The 16,544-nt window shown below is 57.6% G+C and overlaps 1 protein-coding gene and 1 long non-coding RNA gene across 5 annotated transcripts, besides 4 other annotated features; one reads left to right on the top strand and one right to left on the bottom strand.

Annotated features, from left to right (window-relative positions):
• Positions 1 to 2,480: 2,480 nt before the first annotated feature.
• Positions 2,481 to 8,574, bottom strand: MRGPRF-AS1 (MRGPRF antisense RNA 1). Its single transcript, NR_120541.1, has 6 exons — positions 8,380 to 8,574; positions 7,024 to 7,137; positions 6,612 to 6,797; positions 6,337 to 6,487; positions 5,209 to 5,317; positions 2,481 to 3,292 (listed from the first exon to the last, which is right to left on the bottom strand). It is a non-coding gene; the product is annotated as an MRGPRF antisense RNA 1 (long non-coding RNA).
• MRGPRF (MAS related GPR family member F) lies at positions 7,295 to 16,530 on the top strand. 4 transcript variants are annotated; one of them, XM_024448339.2, is made up of 3 exons: positions 7,295 to 7,530; positions 10,971 to 11,074; positions 14,667 to 16,530. In XM_024448339.2, exons 2-3 carry the CDS (start codon positions 11,027 to 11,029, stop codon positions 15,648 to 15,650), a joined length of 1,032 nt encoding a protein of 343 aa, XP_024304107.1. In that variant the 5' UTR covers positions 7,295 to 7,530; positions 10,971 to 11,026; the 3' UTR covers positions 15,651 to 16,530. The 4 variants fall into 4 exon arrangements, with proteins under 4 accessions (XP_024304107.1, NP_659452.3, NP_001091985.1 ...); NM_145015.5 differs by lacking the exon at positions 7,295 to 7,530 and adding an exon at positions 7,682 to 7,845; NM_001098515.2 differs by lacking the exon at positions 7,295 to 7,530 and adding an exon at positions 7,682 to 7,845 and having other exon boundaries at positions 10,960 to 11,074.
• Positions 11,190 to 11,895: an enhancer, noted in NCBI's record as "H3K4me1 hESC enhancer chr11:68776501-68777206 (GRCh37/hg19 assembly coordinates)". NCBI's record gives its function as "activates a minimal SCP1, AML or CMV promoter by ChIP-STARR-seq in naive H9 embryonic stem cells {active_cell/tissue: H9 hESC(naive)}" and the evidence as "EXISTENCE:reporter gene assay evidence [ECO:0000049][PMID:30033119]".
• Positions 11,190 to 12,495: a biological region, named in NCBI's record as "CDK7 strongly-dependent group 2 enhancer GRCh37_chr11:68775901-68777100".
• Positions 11,296 to 12,495: an enhancer, noted in NCBI's record as "CDK7 strongly-dependent group 2 enhancer chr11:68775901-68777100 (GRCh37/hg19 assembly coordinates)". NCBI's record gives its function as "activates an origin of replication core promoter dependent on BRD2, BRD4, P300/CBP, MED14 and CDK7 cofactors, with strong dependence on CDK7, by STARR-seq in HCT116 cells {active_cell/tissue: HCT116}" and the evidence as "EXISTENCE:reporter gene assay evidence [ECO:0000049][PMID:35650434]".
• Positions 12,602 to 13,309: an enhancer, noted in NCBI's record as "H3K4me1 hESC enhancer chr11:68775087-68775794 (GRCh37/hg19 assembly coordinates)". NCBI's record gives its function as "activates a minimal SCP1, AML or CMV promoter by ChIP-STARR-seq in naive and primed H9 embryonic stem cells {active_cell/tissue: H9 hESC(naive and primed)}" and the evidence as "EXISTENCE:reporter gene assay evidence [ECO:0000049][PMID:30033119]".

Genomic DNA, 16,544 nt, shown 5'->3' with positions numbered 1-16,544 from the left:
TTCCAGCTACTCGGGAGTCTAAGGCAGGAGAATCGCTTGAACCTGGGAGGCGGAGCTTGCAGTGACCCAAGGTCATGCCGCTGCACTCCAGCCTGTATGACAGAGTGAGACTCCATCTCAAAAAAAAAAAAAAAAAAAATGAAGGCCTGGATCGCCCCACCAGGCCAAGAACAGTGACAAGCTGAAATGGCGGGTGGGCAAAGGCAGCGTGGAACGTGCTGGGGAAAAGAGGCCTTATCTGTTCCTTATCACGGGAACAAGGTTTGCGGTGGTTGCTTGTGCTCTCACCCCTGCTTCGGTATGCGTACATGGTATATATTACTGAGTTCTTTTTCCTTTCCCTCCCTCCCATTCCTAGTCTATCTGATGTGTGTTCATAGCTGTCAGCCCTATACCTAGCATTGAAGTTACAGAATGTGCAAGGCAGGTGTGGCTTAGGAAGGACAGAGATGGACATGACCCAGATATGGATCAAGGGACAAATGGGGACGGGCGCAGTAATCCCAGCACTTTGGGAGGCCGAGGCAGGTGGATCACCTGAGGTCAGGAGTTTGAGACCAGCCTGGCCAACATGGTGAAACCCCCTGTCTCTACTAAAAATACAAAAATTAGCTGGGTGCGGTGGTGCGTGCCTGTAATCCCGGCTCCACAGGAGACTGAGGCAGGAGAAACACTGGAACCCGGGAGGCGGAAGTTGCAGTGAGCCGAGATCGTGCCACTGCACTCCAGCCTGGGCAACAGAACTAGACTCTAGCTAAACAAAAAAATATATAAATTGCTAAAGATAAATTTCATACTATGCACAATTTATCACAATTTTAAAAAATGTTCCTGGAATTAAATATTTTTAAAGAAGCAAAAGTGACTTGAAATATACACACCAACACACCTACACCCATCCCCCAGTCAGTGTTATCTGTTCAGCCATCCCATGGAATCAAGCCTTGGGGAAATTCCAGATTCAAGAGATGCGTTCGAGGCTGAACATTCAGAAGTTTTGTCTGGAAATAGCTGCTTCTGATAAAAAGTTTATAGGAAACATGGTCTCTCCCAAACAGAAGACCCCAGATCTCTCAGACTTGAGAAAGCAAGAGTTTTGTACTAGTTTTGCACCAGTCTCAGGGGAAACTGTGACGAAGTTTGATTGGGTTTGAAGACATATTTGAGTTTTGTTTGCGTACCAGTGGCAGGCCCAGAAGGAAAGCCCGCACGTGACCTCAGTGTTCAGTGCAACTTCAACTCCTGTTTCCCTCTCTCTTGCTGCCCCAAAGCAGGAGTGAGCTTCCCGCCAGGCCCCTGAGGGTCCGACAGCCATCCTGGCAGCTGCTCTCAGCCTGTCTCTGGCTGCTCAAGCCACCCTCGCTGAGGACCTACCTAGGGTTTGCAAGTGTCTGTTGCCATAATAATCCACAGAGAAGGCAAGGGCAGTGGTAAGCTGAAGACAGGACCCCTCAAAGCAAAGTGGGAGAGAATTCTCAGAACTCTTTTCCTTCCCTGTAATGTTTCTTGGGGTCACCCCCTAAAATAAACTCCTTGCACCTCCCCACTAAAAGGTTAAGTCTCGTTAAAAGAGTATCCGCATGGCAAATTGACAGTTGGAGTGTGCTGGACCTGGACGGCCTCTCAGTCCCATGACCTCCTCCTATGGCTGGAAACTGTTCCCCGAGTCCCTTCCATGACAGATGCTGGGTCAGAGTTTCTCAATGAGAAGGGCTCGTGGTGAGGTTTGGAAGGTGAGTCAGTTGGGACCCGTGATTCCCAGGAGGCCATGGCGCCCAGATGCAGTGGCTTCACAGACCTCCCCACGAGCTCTTCCTTCAGGCTTGTGGCGGCCACACGGGGCAGCTTCCCAAGCTCTTCCAGCTCCAGTACCCACACAGGGGCTGGCCAAAGTCCCAGTGAGCGTTCCTCTGATTCTCTGACTACAGCTTTCCAGACTCGCACGCCTCAGACCTGCCCACGCCACGTGTGAACCCCTATTTCCCTGATAGTGTGATGTGTCTGTTTCTTGACCCAAGTCAGGGCCGGGGGAGGAGGAGGGCAGGAAGGAGAGAGACTGAGGAAGAGGGACAGGGAGATGCTGCGGGGAACCTGTCATTAAAAGGAGCACATCAGGCAGGGCACGGTGTCTCACACCTGTAATCCCAGCACTTTGAGAGGCCGAGGTCGGGGGATCACATGAGGTCAAGAGTTTGAGACCAGCCTCACCAACATGGTGAAACCCCGTCTCCACTAAAAATACAAATATTAGCCAGGCGTGGTGGCACTGCCTGTAGTCCCAGCTACTCAAGAGTCTGAGGCAGAAGAATCGCTTGAACCCGGGAGACACAATGAGCCAAGATCTTGCCACTGCAATCCAGCCTGGGCAACAGAGTGAGACACCGTCTCTCCCCAACCCCAAAAAGAAGCACATCCACTCACGGGCCTTGTTTAGCTTGTGACACACATGCAGAGCTGTAAAAAAAGTGTGCAAACACTGATTGGATGTTGAATGATGTTTAAGGAATTATTTGTTATTTTTAGGAGTGACAAGGCTACTGCAAACTTTTTGAAGGTTAGTTATTCAGTCCTGTGCTGAAATTGAAGGTCTAATGACGGGACATCACGGATCCGCTTAAGGCGGGACAGAAGCAGGCGGGTGTGGACGAGGTAGACCAAACCTGGTGTCCAGGCTGCCCTGGAAGTTGAGGTGGACAGGGCAGAGGAGGGATGCCAGTGGGGTGCACCACCCACCCACGGGCAGGCACCACACCGAGGAGCTGGGTGTGTGGGAAGGACTCTGCTGGGGGCAGCGAGGAGAATGCACCTGGGAGGCACCAGTGAGGGGTCTCAGCAGGGAGGTGGCCCAGGGGACGGGGGAGAGATGGACACAGTCAGGCAGTATCTGGCATCAGGGAAGTGGGGAATTGGAAAAGGCAGAGAGTCCCACATTGGAAAGATGGGAAACTGGAATGTCCAGACCTCAGGGCTCAAGGCAGCAGCTCTGTGCCTGGACTTACAGGGGCCTGTAGGGTGCCTCAAGGCCCTACCCTCCTGCCCAGCCTGCACATGCACCCTCCCCTCCTGCCCTGCAGCCACCCACTTTGTTCTCCTAGTGCACCAATCCTTTCCATCACGGGGCCTTTGCACCTGCTGTTCTTGATCCTGGAACACTTTCCTGTGGGTTGCGTGAGCAGCCACCTCCTCCTTCTCCTTCAGGTCTCAGTGTAAGCATCATCTCTGTAGAGGAGCCTCCAGCCCCACCCCAGCTAATCAGGCCTGGCCATCCCCATGGATTAGTTTCTTGTGGCTTCTGTAACAAATGACACAAACTTAGTGGCTTAAACAACACAAACGTATTCTAGTAAGAGTTCCAGAAATCAGAGGCCTAAAGTCAAGGTGTTGGCAGGGCTGGTTCCTTCTGGAGGCTCTAGGGGACAGCTTGTTTCCTTGTCCTCTCCAGTTTCTAGAGGCAGCCTGCATTCTTTGGCTGGTGGCCCCTTCCTCACATCAACACATGGCCCACTACTCATTCTGATCTCCTGTCTCCTTCTTACAAGGACCCTTGCAATGACATAGGGCCCACCTGGATAATCCACAATGATGCTCCCATCTCAAGACCCTTCACTCCATCCCAACTGCAAAGTCCCTTTGGCCAGGTGCAAAGTCACATGTTCTCAGGATCTGGGGATTAGGACATCAACATCTTTAGGGGCCATTATTCAGCTCACCTCCCATCCCTCCCTGCCTACCACCTAAGTTTCTGTCACTATGCCTGTTTGGTTTTCTCAATGCACTAATCACAGGTTGGAGTTCTTATGTTCAGTTTTTTCTATTTATCACCTGCTCCCCATGCCCCATGTCTGGTTCTTCCACAATTCTTTTCCTAGCACCAACATTGCTGGTGTTCAGTACAAATGTGTTGAATTAAGGTAAGAATGAATGGATGGGTGGATGGGTGAGTGGGTGGGTGGATGGCTAGATGGATGAATGGATGGATTGATAGATGAATGGATGGATAGACGGATTGATGGATGGATGGGTGGGTGGATGGATGGATGATGGATGGATGGATGGATGGATGGATGGATGGATGGTTTGGTGGATGGATGGATGGATGGATGGATGGATGGATGGATGGATGGATAGATGGATGGATGGATGGTCTGGTGGGTGGGTGGATGGATGGTTTGGTGGATGGATGGATGGATGGATGGATGGATGGATGGATGGATGGATAGATGGATGGATAGATGGTTTGGTGGGTGGATGGATGGTTTGGTGGATGGATGGATGGATGGATGGATGGATGGATGGATGGATAGATGGATGGATGGACGGTCTGGTGGGTGGGTGGATGGATGGATGGATGGATGGATGGTTTGGTGGGTGGATGGATGGATGGATGGATGGATGGTCTTGTACTTGGATGGATGGATGGATAGATGGTTTGGTGGGTGAATGGATGGATGGATGGATGGTCTGGTGGGTGGATGGATGGATGGGAGGATGGATGGATGGATGGATGGATGAGCAAGTAGATGGGTAGTTGAGTGGGTAGATGAGTAAGTGGATAGATGGAAAGATGGACAAATTAACAAATGAATGGTCTACCACATGCAGGACAGAGGATAATGTGGACTTTTGCTGAGATTCCCAAGATGCACCTTCCAGCACAGAAAGGCCCAGCCTAGTGGAGGAGGGGAACAGAGCAGAAGGAGAGGGGTCCCTTTCACTATTAGGAAAGACAGCTAGGCCTTGGTTCAACCTTTTTTCTTTAGACAGAGTCTCGCTGTCTCACCCAGGCTGGGGTGCTGCAGTGGCGTGATCTCAGCTCACTGCAACCTCCACCTCCTGGGTTCAAGTGATTCTTATGTCTCAGCCTCCCAAGTAGCTGGGACTACAGGTGTGTGCCACCATGCCCAGCTAATTTTTTGTATTTTTAGTATAAATGGAGTTTCACGATGTTGGCCAGGCTGGTCTGGAACGCCTGAGCTCAGTCAATCCACCTGCCTCAGCCTCCCAAAGTGCTAGGATTACAGGCGTGAGCCACCACACCAGCCGAATGGCCCTGCACACCTTCTTCATCGCAGGTGCATTTTACTGTGTTTCCTTTGACCTGGTCTGCCTCTCTGTTGGACATCAGCTCCCGGAGAGCAGGGACCTTGCCTGTCCTATTCATCAGCACAGAGCACAGTGCCTGGCACCCTGCAGGTGCTCAGGAAATACCTGTAGTCTTTACTGAGGATGGTGCTGGCTGCAGAGGGGCCACGAGGGCTGGTCCACACCCACCCCCTCGTCCAGGGAGCAGCAGGGCAACCATAGGCCACAGAAGCACCTGGCAGGGAGACATCTCTGTCCAGAACCGACCTCCTTCCCCCAAGGATCCCCCCAACAGAGGAGGGTCCAGGCCTGCACCCTCAGGAGGGGACATGGGGAGAGGCGTAGGACCATGAGGCCCTTGGCAAGGGATGATTAAAAACAAAGTTCTACTGGGAGGGGCAGGGGAGGACTCCTGACGGCAAGTGGTGGCTGTTTAGAAAGTGAAGGCTGGACGAGCAGGGACCATGCCCCATTCTCAGCATCAGCCAGAGCCCTGAGCCTTGCAGGGAGGGCCTGGCACCAGCGGGACACCTGGAGCAGGGAGCGGCGTTGCTGAGGTGCATGAAGAGCTCTTTCTCCCGGCTCCTCCCGGCATCCAATCCCTCCTTGCTATAACCCTGTGGGTCATTATCTTTTCCCATCTGACAGCTGAGGAAACCAAGGTCCCCAGTGGGAAGGAAACTGTCCACGGTCACCCAAGCCTGGAGGCAGCACAGGAACTCCTTGCACTGGGCCTCTGGGCACCACCCCACACACACAGCCCACCACTCCCCCAGGGGGTGGGGAGAGACCCCCAGGGTGGCTGCTACAGACTGCATGTTTGTGGCCCCACCCCCTGCCCTGCTGCCCCACTGCCCTGAATTCATGTGTTGACATCTAATCTCCTGTGTGAGGTGGGGTGTTTGGGAGATGAGCAGGTTATGAGGGTGGGGCCTCATAATGGCATTAATGCCCGAGTAAAAGAGGCCCCATTGAGCTCCTTCGCCTGCCTGAAAGGGGTCACCACATGGGGACTCAGTGAGAGGCTGGGTCCTCACCAGACGCTGAATCTGTGGAGGCCTTGATCTTGGCCTTCCAGCCCCCGGAGCCATGGGAAACAAACGCCTGCTCCGATAAGCCCCTGGTCTGCGGTACTGCAACAGAGCAGCCGGACACACCAAGCCCACGGGAAGGGGACTCCACAAACTCAGGCCAGGACGACCTTCCCGTTTACAAGCGCCTCTCGCTTATTTTGAGAGAAACAGATTTCCATACCAAATAAGGCGGTGGACTTCAGAGCCTCTGCCCACTTCACACAATTCCTTTTAAGTGTCCAAACGCAATTACACTTGGAACTCGCCGGGATTCAGCCTCCCCCGGCCTCCCCATGTAAACAAGCGTTCCAGCTGGGCCCCAGCTGGCTGCCCTGGAGAGGAGGGGACGGGTCACCACCCTGCCTGCTGCCTCCAGCCTCTCTCTCAGCCTCAGGCATGGCCCGTGAGCCTCCAGGATCCCAGAGTCCCTCCTCACCCCATCCCTGAAAAACGGACCCCAGGAGGCCAGCTGAGCCGCGCAGGGAGCAGTGCGAGAGTCCCTCTTCCACGCTGAGGTTCGCACATGGCCAGGACAAGCAGGAGGCAGGCAGCTCCCAGCGCAGGTGCAGGGGCAGCTCCGCTTCTCATTTCCCTTCAAGATGCCCACAGAGGCACATCTCTCCCAGTCTGGGCACTACACTCCTGCAGGGAAAGTTCAGAATTCCCTCGGGCTTCCTGGACCCTGAGAAAGTTGGCCCAGGGTAGGAGGGGAGCCTTCTCATCACCCCCTCCTCCTGGCCACCCTGCTGGCTCCCGCACCCCCGACTCTGCACCCCCACCCCTACCAATGCTCAGTGCCCCAGGCATGAACGCGTTCCAGGACCCCCCCCCACCGCCCGCCTCCAGGGGCTCAATGGGGAAGGGGGACCTGACTCATCCTCCCGCTGAGCAGCGCAGGCACCAGGCACCACAGCCCGCCAATTTCCAGCTTGCTTGCCGAGCGCCGTGATTTTCCACTTGCGCCATCTGATTGCTATTAGGGCTGGGGAAAAGGGAATTCCTGGTTCCATAAGCCCCCAGGGGGCCCAGGCCGAGTCCGGGGTGGGAAGGGGGAGGGGTGCCGCTTGGGCGGTGCTGACCACCTCTGCCAGTTCTGCACTGCCCCTCCATGGAGCCCTCGCCCTGCTGCCCCCCACTGCTCTGTATCAGCCCCTGAGTAAATTAAAACAACGGGGTGGGGACTAGCCCCTCCTGGGCCAGCCTGCCCCGAAATGCCCACTGGGGGCAGACCAAAGACGCCAGGCAAGTGTACAGCCGGTGCTCCCTCTCCTGGGCAGCCCTGCCGAGCAGCAGAATGTGAGGGAGATGAACAGCTGGACTCGGGCTGCAGTGCTCGGGCCAACGTGACGTCACCAGGCGGAGAGATGAGTTCCCGGTGGGGCTCTGGGGGGGGCTCCTGAGCGGGGCATTCCTTCCTGAAGCCTCATCCCCGCTCAGCCCTGCTCAGCCCCTCCTCCTACTCCCCTCCCCCTCCCCCTCCTGCCGGGCCAGGAATTGGGTTTGGGGCGGGTTCTGCTTCCAAAGCCATCTCTTCCAGCAGGAGAGGGCTCTACTCTGAGCTCCTATTTTCCAAGGCTCCGGGCCGCGCTCGGCGCTGGCCTGCTGCCCCGGCGGGTCCGCCGGCCGGAGGCGGGAGTCACAGGAAGAGCCCTCCACAAAAGGAGGCCTCGGCGGATCAGGACAGCTGCAGGTAGCTCCAGGGGCCCAGGGTCCAGGGGAGGGTGTTCCAACAACCGGGGCTGCAGGGTGAGGGCCAGGCAGGGAAGGAAAATGACGCGGGCACTGTAGGGGCAGAGAGGTGGACGCTGTCGGGGCAGGCAGCTCCCAGAAATCCTAAGGCCCCAGGCAGGGAGCCCTGAGACCCCAGAGAGGCTGTCACTCACCGGAGAAGCTCCCCTGCCACTCCTGAGGCTCCAGGGTTCCAGGGCCATGGAGGAACTTTAAAAGTCCCCCTCCCGTGGCAGGACCTGACCCCTCTCAGCTGGCCTCACCCCCAGCCCCACCGTCCAGCTCCTGCTCTGTGCTGCTGGGGGTGAGGGCTCCCTCTCGGTCCCTCCCCCAGCCTCACTGGCCATTCAAGCATGCATTCTAGAGGGGCTGGAACGGAACACCCAGCAGGCAGTGTCCCACACACAGGGAGATGGCTCCCCCTGCTCTCAGCCCTGGGGTGCACATGGGGTGTCCGTGTGGGCAGCCACAGGATGTTGGGCAACTGCAGTCCCACCTTCTCCCAGGCCTGCGGCCTGATGAAGCTGTTGGCCTTGGATGGAGGCGGCTCCTGGAATGATCTGCAAGGTCTCAGTCCCCCCAGACAAGCCTCTTCAATCCAAGCTGTTAAGCAGGGGACTCCAGACCCGGAGTGAGGAAAACAGAGGCTCTGTGTCTGGGGGAGCGAGACAGGCCCCTCTGATGGCGGCACAAGCGGCTAAGGAGAGGGGCTGGGACAGCCCCAGCGGCGTCGGGGCTGGGTCATGGTGGGATGGAGTGAAGGGAGAGGAGGAGCTTCCTGCGGGCAAGGCTGCAGGAGGCTGACAGGTGGCCAGGCCACCCTTGGGCTTGCTCCGAGGGGAGGGTCAGGTGTGAGCTGTGCTGGCAGCTTTTTGGGTCAGCTTCAGTGGAAACTAGTTCTGTCATAGCAGCCCAGATCCCACCCAGAGGAACACACATACACATGTACTGACACGCACGCCCCATCCACGTGTCACACACATGTCCTTTAATATGGCCCATCTGGGGTCTGCTGGCTTCTAGATCTTTCTGTGCATGCGTGAAATCGCTTTTCAGGTTGTCCCTGGCAGGACAAGGACAAATGCACAGGGACACCCACATAATGGAGGGACGCAGATGGTAGAGAGGGGAGCTGGGGGCCCCCACTGCATGCCCACCTGCAGCGTAGGGGGGAGCCCAGCCCACTGCCTTTGGGGCACTAGTTGGTGTGGCTGGGGTCTAGCCTGGCCAGGGTGAATGGATGAGGCTCCTGTGAGTCAGGACATCTCTGGAAACAAGGCTGGGGGCCCAGACCTAGGGGTGGTGGGTGTCCAGAAGGGCCACCAAAAAGAGTAGGGGCAATGGAGAGAGCTTGGGGGGCTCTTACCAGGCGCCCGGAAGGATGAGGGCAGGTGATAGGTCTGGGGTTGCAGGGCAGGAAAGCTCAGACAGGCCCCAGAGCGTGGAGAAGTTACGGCCTGTCTGTGGCAACGGGACAATGGCCCAACTGGAGTCCAAGGAGGGAGACTTAAGATACAGGTCGCAGCACCAGCCATCTGCAAGCCCACTGCACACACATCACAATGCACTGGCTCACTCCGGCACACAAGGTGCCCCCACCCTGGGACACCCCGAAGACCCCAGGCTGAGTCAGCCGTAGGCCAGGCACAGGTGCTCACAAACGCCCTTTGAAGGCGCAGAGCGGCGCGGTCTGGCAGCGCGGGGCCGAGGGGAGCCAGGCCACTGGGTGGGAAGGGTCCTGGGAGCGGCCCCTGGGGCCACACTTGCGCCACCAGCTCCGGGAGGCCCAGGGTTAAAGAGGGGGCGGGCCACACGCGCAGACGGCCACCTCTTCTAGCCAATGGTGGGCGCGGAGGCCAGGAGTACGGCCCGCCCCCGGGCGGGAGGAGTGCGCGGCGGGCGGGGGCACGTGGCTGGCTGAGGCCGGGCGGACCCGCGCGGCGCAGAGGAAAGAATTTCCGGGGAGTTGAGCTGAGCAGGATGCCCAGCTCTCCCCTTGGGAGAGGAGGGGCCCGGCAGCCTGCGACCTGGGCTGTGCCCAGCAAGGCCCTTCTCCGCTCACAGCCTCAGTTTACCCCCCCAGTACAGCAGGGAATAATAATAGATGCTTCTCTGCGGGGAAGGGGCACAGGGCTTCACGGGGAGAAGCTTCCTCCAAGGGGTGAAGCTCAGGTTGGGGGACCGGGATCAATTCCAGAGGACCCAAGGCAGGCAGACCCATGAGGTCTGGCCGGCCAAGGTGGACCAGCCTCCAGCAGGGTCACCCCCTACCCCAGGCCTCCCATTGGCAGCCCTAGGGTGGGTGCAGCTTCCCCTCTCTATGCCAGCAGTCCCTCCCTACGGCAGCTGCTCGAAACACAAATCTGCAAGGCTGCAGGGCATGGTGTGGCTATGGGTGTGCCTTTGGGCAGGTGACCTCACCCTCTAAGCCCAGGAGCGCCCATCAAAGGGGCATGAGGATACCTGGCCCATAGCTGGTCATGAGGACCAAACCAGATGATGGGTGTAGGCGGGCTGGCAGGGTAAGTGGTGGTGACAGTGATGCTGATGACCGGGCTGTCCTGCCTCCCAGGCACATGTAGGGGAAAGGCCAGATGCCTTAGCATGTTACAAACCGCGGCTCAGCCAAAGCCCTCCTCCTCCAGCAGGTTCCCCCTGCCAGGAATGATCCCTCTTCCCCTGCTCCTCCTTCTGGGACCGATTGCTGGGAAACCCCTGTCCCCACACCAGGCAGGGCACAAAGGAAGTGCCCCAAAAATGTGTGTGGGGAAGTAAATGTATGTCTGCAAAAGCAGCCTGGCTCCAGAACTCTCACAAGAAAAGGGAAAGGAGAGGGCTTCTTTTCCAGTGAGCTGCGGTGGGGCTGACGCGGAGTCCACAGGCAGGAGGGGGCCGTGCCCCAGGGGTGACCTCCAGAATCTCACCAGGACAGTCCCACAATGCCCCTGCTGCTGAGGGTGTGGGGTGATTGCCTTTCCTCTAAGGTGATGGCTGAGAGCCACAGGCCTTGGGGGCCTAGGCACGGGGGTCCAGGAAGGGGAGGGGTCCCTGCTGTCCTCATCCACCCTCTCTCTGGGCTTCTGCCAGGTGGGTGTGCAGACTGGTGAGCTGCCAGCAGGGGCCCAGACGCGCCAGGCCTGGAGATGGCTGGAAACTGCTCCTGGGAGGCCCATCCCGGCAACAGGAACAAGGTAAGTGCCACAGGCGGAGGGCCCTGGTCTTGCCCAGACGGGTGTGGGTGGGAGGGGCAGACCCAGCCCAGCATCTCCTCCCCCATCCCCCCCTTCCTGGCCCCACTTTCCAGCTCTGGACCCACCGTGGGCAGTGGGCTCCTCTGGGCTATGTGGCCGGGCACAAGTTCCCTGGACCCTCCTACCCTCCTGTCCTCATCAGTGAGGCAAGCACCAGGACTGGACCTCAAGGTCCCTCGCTGTGCTGACACTGTGGTCGCCTTGTAGCATCCTTGCAAGGTCTTGTTTCATCTCTTCCCTGCAGAGGTGGGGCAGTCAGCTACTTACTACAGCCAGGCGGGCCAGGAAGCCCTGGGACGCTGACTCCAAGGTGGCCCTGATGTCATGTGCTCCATGGAGCCTAGGGGGTCCTGGGCCACCCCGAGAGTGTTGCCCCAGGCCAGGGTCCATTAGTCATGAGTCACCCACCCTGAGACTCTGACAACCCCTCCAGGCTGACCCTCCTCCTGCCCTCAGCCAACCTAGTCCCCTACTTCTCTGAATCCCTTGAAAATTCTGGGATTTCCTTCGCTCTCAACTTCGAAGGATCTCTTGAATTCCTATCCATCCTCTTCTGCATTTGAGGAAACTGAGGCTTACACCCAGGTAGTAACTTGACTGGGATCAGCCCCTGGGTCAGGAGCAGAGTGGCAACTCCAGCCCAGCCCTGGGGATCTCACCCCCACGCCCTTGGGCCTTGGGCCCTCTCCCTCTTCCCCGTAGTGACCGCTGTGGAGTGGCGGCCGCAGGAGGCAGAGGTTGGACTGGTAGGTGGGGTGAGGCAGTCTGCAGAAACTCCCAGCGCAAAGGCAGAGCCCAGGGTGGGGCCGGGCTCCAGAGCAGGCATTCTACAAGGCAGTATGCGGCTGGTCACGGCAGCTACACGCCCAGTGACTCACCCGGCCTCCCCCTCTGACTCCAAGGAGGGGATTGCAGACTTTTTCCAGCGTGCATGCATACAAGAGGCACTGAGTAAGCTGACCGCCTCCATCCAGCCCCTTGAAGCCCAGCTCTTTCCCAGCACCTGAGCTGGTCCTCTTGGGCCTGTTTGGGCACCAGATCCTACGGTCTAGTTCCCCAGCCCAGAAGAGTGTCCAGGTCACCCACAGGAAAGAGAAGCTAAGGAGCGGGATTTGGGGCGAACAGACCAGCCGACAGGGGTTGAGCCTATAAATGTATTTAGAGAATGGCAGGGAGGGAGCAGGGCCCCCTTACAGTGCTTGCCCTGACCTCACAGAGTCTCCCCAGAGTTTTGCCAACACCTTCAGTCCTGTTTTCAGATTCCCCTTGACCTGAGCAGGCTAGGAGGTCCCTCCCTTTGCAACGGGGTGTCCAACCCAGAGAACAGTCTCTCAGGACCCAGCTTTCTGCCAGAGCTGGGAGTCATCTGAAGGTGGCAGAATGGATCCTGCCTTCATAACCTTGCCTTTGGTTTTGTTAGGGAGCCCTGAGCAGTGGGAACAGAAACCAGCCTTTGAGGGGAGATGCTGGATGTGGGAAGAGGAGTGACTGTTCTCCGGGCAGGCAGCCTTTGCCTCTGGGGGGAAAGGTCGGAGAGGACTGCCGGAGAGCTGAGCCAGCCTGTAGATAGATGGGTTGTTTGGCCTGCACAGCATGTTTAAATGTTAACATTTAAAGATCGGGTGTTCCACATTCCAGTCTAGAGTTCAGGCTTCTCCAGGGAGCGGGGGAGGACGATCAGCCACTCCAGTGCACCCAATCCCTGGCCCCCACCAGCTGGAGCACAGCAGGCTGCCCGCTTCGCTCAAGAGAGGGGCTCTCAGATTTGCCACTGTGCTCCCTCTCACCTGTTCCTTGCACCTGGCCCACCTGCATGCATTTATACACAAGCCTAGACCCTGAGGGCAGGACCGATACTCAGCTGGGATGCACTCTTACAGCCACACCAACAGTTAAAGTATTGAAATGCTTCCCTGCAGCTTGATAAATAGCTGCTGCCTCTCCTCCACCCCAGGGACCCCCTGGACTTTCCCACAATCTGGAAACCCCAGGGGCAACCCTGGCTCATCAGGAAGCCACCTCCCATCCCACTAGAGGACAGGGTCCAGCTCCGGGGAAGGCCGAGATCCACTCGTTGTTTTTTTTTAAATGTAACTTACAAGTGATTTTATTTCTTCAAATAGTTTCGTGTTTGTTGAAACATTGCAAGATTTTGCAAGAATAGTACAATGCCCGCCAATACCTCACCTCAGCTCAGTCATCGTTAACCCTTCACCACAAGTGCTTTCTCTCTATCTCTTGACAGATAGGCTTTTTTTCCCAGAATGATTTGAAAGTAAATTGCAAGGCTGGGTGCGGTGGCTCACGCCTCTAATCCCAGCACTTTGGGAGGCCAAGATGGGCGGATCACCTGAGGTCAAGAGATCGAGACCAGTCCGGCCAACATGGTGAAACCCCATCTCTACTAAAAATACAAAAATTAGTCAGGCATGGCGGTGCGTGCCTGTAGTCCCAGCTACTCGGGAGCCTGAGGCAGGAGAATTGCTTGAACCTGGGAGGCGGAGGCTGTAGTGAGCCAAGATCGGGCCACTGCACTCTAGCCTGACAAAGCAAGACTCTGTCTCAAAAACAAACAAACAAACAAAAGTAAATTGCAGACACCAAGCCCTTGATGCCCAAATAGCCTGTATCTTCTAAGAACAAGGACGTTCCCGTAGCCACATAGTGAAAATGTGCGTAGCCACAGTACATTGTCACATTCAAAAGCTGCAACACCGATGCAATGCCATTATCTCTGCATCGTCCATACTCACATTTCCCCAGTGGTCCCAACGATATCCTCTGCAGCAGTTGTTGAGATCCAGCGTATAATCCAGGATTCTAACACTGTGTTTAGGAGTCATGTCTCTTTGCTCTTCTTAAAAATGGAAAGGCTCAGCCAGGCGCAGTGACTCACGTCTATAATCCCAGCACTTTGGGAGGCAGGTGGATCACTTGAGGTCAGGAGTTCGAGACCATCCTGGCCAACACGGCGAAGCCCCGTCTCTACTGAAAATACAAAAATTAGCCGGGCATGGTGCCGCGTGCCCGTAGTCCCAGCTACTCAGGAGGCTGAGGCAGGAGAATCGCTTGAACCTGGGAGGCAGAGGTTGCAGTGAGCCGAGATCGTGCCACTGCACGCTCCAGCCTGGTGACAGAGTGAGACTCTGTCTCAAAAAAAAAAAAAAAAAAAAAGGGAAAGGCTCTGCAGTTTTTTGTGCGACTTGGACGTTTTTTGGACAGTCTACTCTGACCGGTGGGCAGCCTGGCACCCTTCCTGGGCACTGTCTGGTGCTACCTCTACTCCTATAGGCACCATTGTGTGCTGCTAGCTCTAGACGCTGGGACGGAGAGTTAACATCAGGTGAGGTCAGGGGCGTTTGAGGATAGAGTTGCAGCCAGTTAGCTGCTCCACAGCCACTGCCTTACAGACCCCCTCCCTGCCCCAAGTCCCTAATTGGGACCCCCCCCCTCCCCCACGCTGGGCCCCAGATGCAGGTCTGTGGGTGGGGGCCAGCCGGCATCACAGGTGTCCCTCTCTGCACCTGCGCAGATGTGCCCTGGCCTGAGCGAGGCCCCGGAACTCTACAGCCGGGGCTTCCTGACCATCGAGCAGATCGCGATGCTGCCGCCTCCGGCCGTCATGAACTACATCTTCCTGCTCCTCTGCCTGTGTGGCCTGGTGGGCAACGGGCTGGTCCTCTGGTTTTTCGGCTTCTCCATCAAGAGGAACCCCTTCTCCATCTACTTCCTGCACCTGGCCAGCGCCGATGTGGGCTACCTCTTCAGCAAGGCGGTGTTCTCCATCCTGAACACGGGGGGCTTCCTGGGCACGTTTGCCGACTACATCCGCAGCGTGTGCCGGGTCCTGGGGCTCTGCATGTTCCTTACCGGCGTGAGCCTCCTGCCGGCCGTCAGCGCCGAGCGCTGCGCCTCGGTCATCTTCCCCGCCTGGTACTGGCGCCGGCGGCCCAAGCGCCTGTCGGCCGTGGTGTGCGCCCTGCTGTGGGTCCTGTCCCTCCTGGTCACCTGCCTGCACAACTACTTCTGCGTGTTCCTGGGCCGCGGGGCCCCCGGCGCGGCCTGCAGGCACATGGACATCTTCCTGGGCATCCTCCTGTTCCTGCTCTGCTGCCCGCTCATGGTGCTGCCCTGCCTGGCCCTCATCCTGCACGTGGAGTGCCGGGCCCGACGGCGCCAGCGCTCTGCCAAGCTCAACCACGTCATCCTGGCCATGGTCTCCGTCTTCCTGGTGTCCTCCATCTACTTAGGGATCGACTGGTTCCTCTTCTGGGTCTTCCAGATCCCGGCCCCCTTCCCCGAGTACGTCACTGACCTGTGCATCTGCATCAACAGCAGCGCCAAGCCCATCGTCTACTTCCTGGCCGGGAGGGACAAGTCGCAGCGGCTGTGGGAGCCGCTCAGGGTGGTCTTCCAGCGGGCCCTGCGGGACGGCGCTGAGCTGGGGGAGGCCGGGGGCAGCACGCCCAACACAGTCACCATGGAGATGCAGTGTCCCCCGGGGAACGCCTCCTGAGACTCCAGCGCCTGGAGGAGGCAGGGGCAGGAAGCGGCCTCCAAGACCCTTCGCCTTGGGACAGGAATGGGCACCTGCTTCTGAGTCCATACAGGAGAAGAAAGATCTGTTTCCTCTCCTCGGGCCTCCTTCTCCCTGGGCTGGGGACTCCAGGGGTGGCTGGGAGACTGGGCAGCCACCAGCAAACAGACCCTGTGGCCCCTGCCCGGCTCCCCCACCCATTCTGCTCCCCTAGAGACCTCTTGTACAGAAGTTGCCCCCAGGTGGTGGGGCCCCTCCTTGCCCTAGGCTGGTTGGTAAAAGAGAGGAGGTCAACACCCAGCCTAGCCACCTCTGCCTCTTGGGTCAGCCCTCCTTGACTGTGTCCCAGCCAGCACCAGGCCAGCAGCCTCATCCCTGCCATTCAGGGCTGTTCCAGAGATTCGATCCTCTTAAGGCATTATCAGTGAGCAAATGTGAAGGAAATGGTGTCTGGAAGAAAGTTCTGGTTCACATGCCTTGTAGCTAAGTCTTTCTGCAAACAACCTCCCTTCCCCCCGTCGAGTCATTTGGTGACTTTGATGGGGGGATTTCTGGTTATGTCAAGGCTCTGGAGACAGGAAGGGCCTTTGGCCGCCTTGGGTAGTTGACCTGCCTTTTCTGACTCCGGGACGAGCCAGTCCTAGGCTGCCTCCGGGAGCACTTGAGGTATCCCGCAGGCCATGAGGACCCACTGGGCAGCTCCTGGACAGCCTCTTGGCTCCAGCCCCCACCCGAAAGTGGACACTGGCTCCGCCCTGGCCACCTGGGGACTGGCACTGTGGTGCACAGTGGCCCAATGTGGCCAACGGAAGTTTTATAAAAGACAAAATGTATATCAATAAACATTTTATAACTTGCAGCCAGGAAGGCTTC

This window comes from Homo sapiens, chromosome 11 (assembly GCF_000001405.40).
Source record: "Homo sapiens chromosome 11, GRCh38.p14 Primary Assembly".
Taxonomy (NCBI): domain Eukaryota; kingdom Metazoa; phylum Chordata; class Mammalia; order Primates; family Hominidae; genus Homo; species Homo sapiens.
This window is presented reverse-complemented; position numbering and strand designations above follow the sequence as displayed.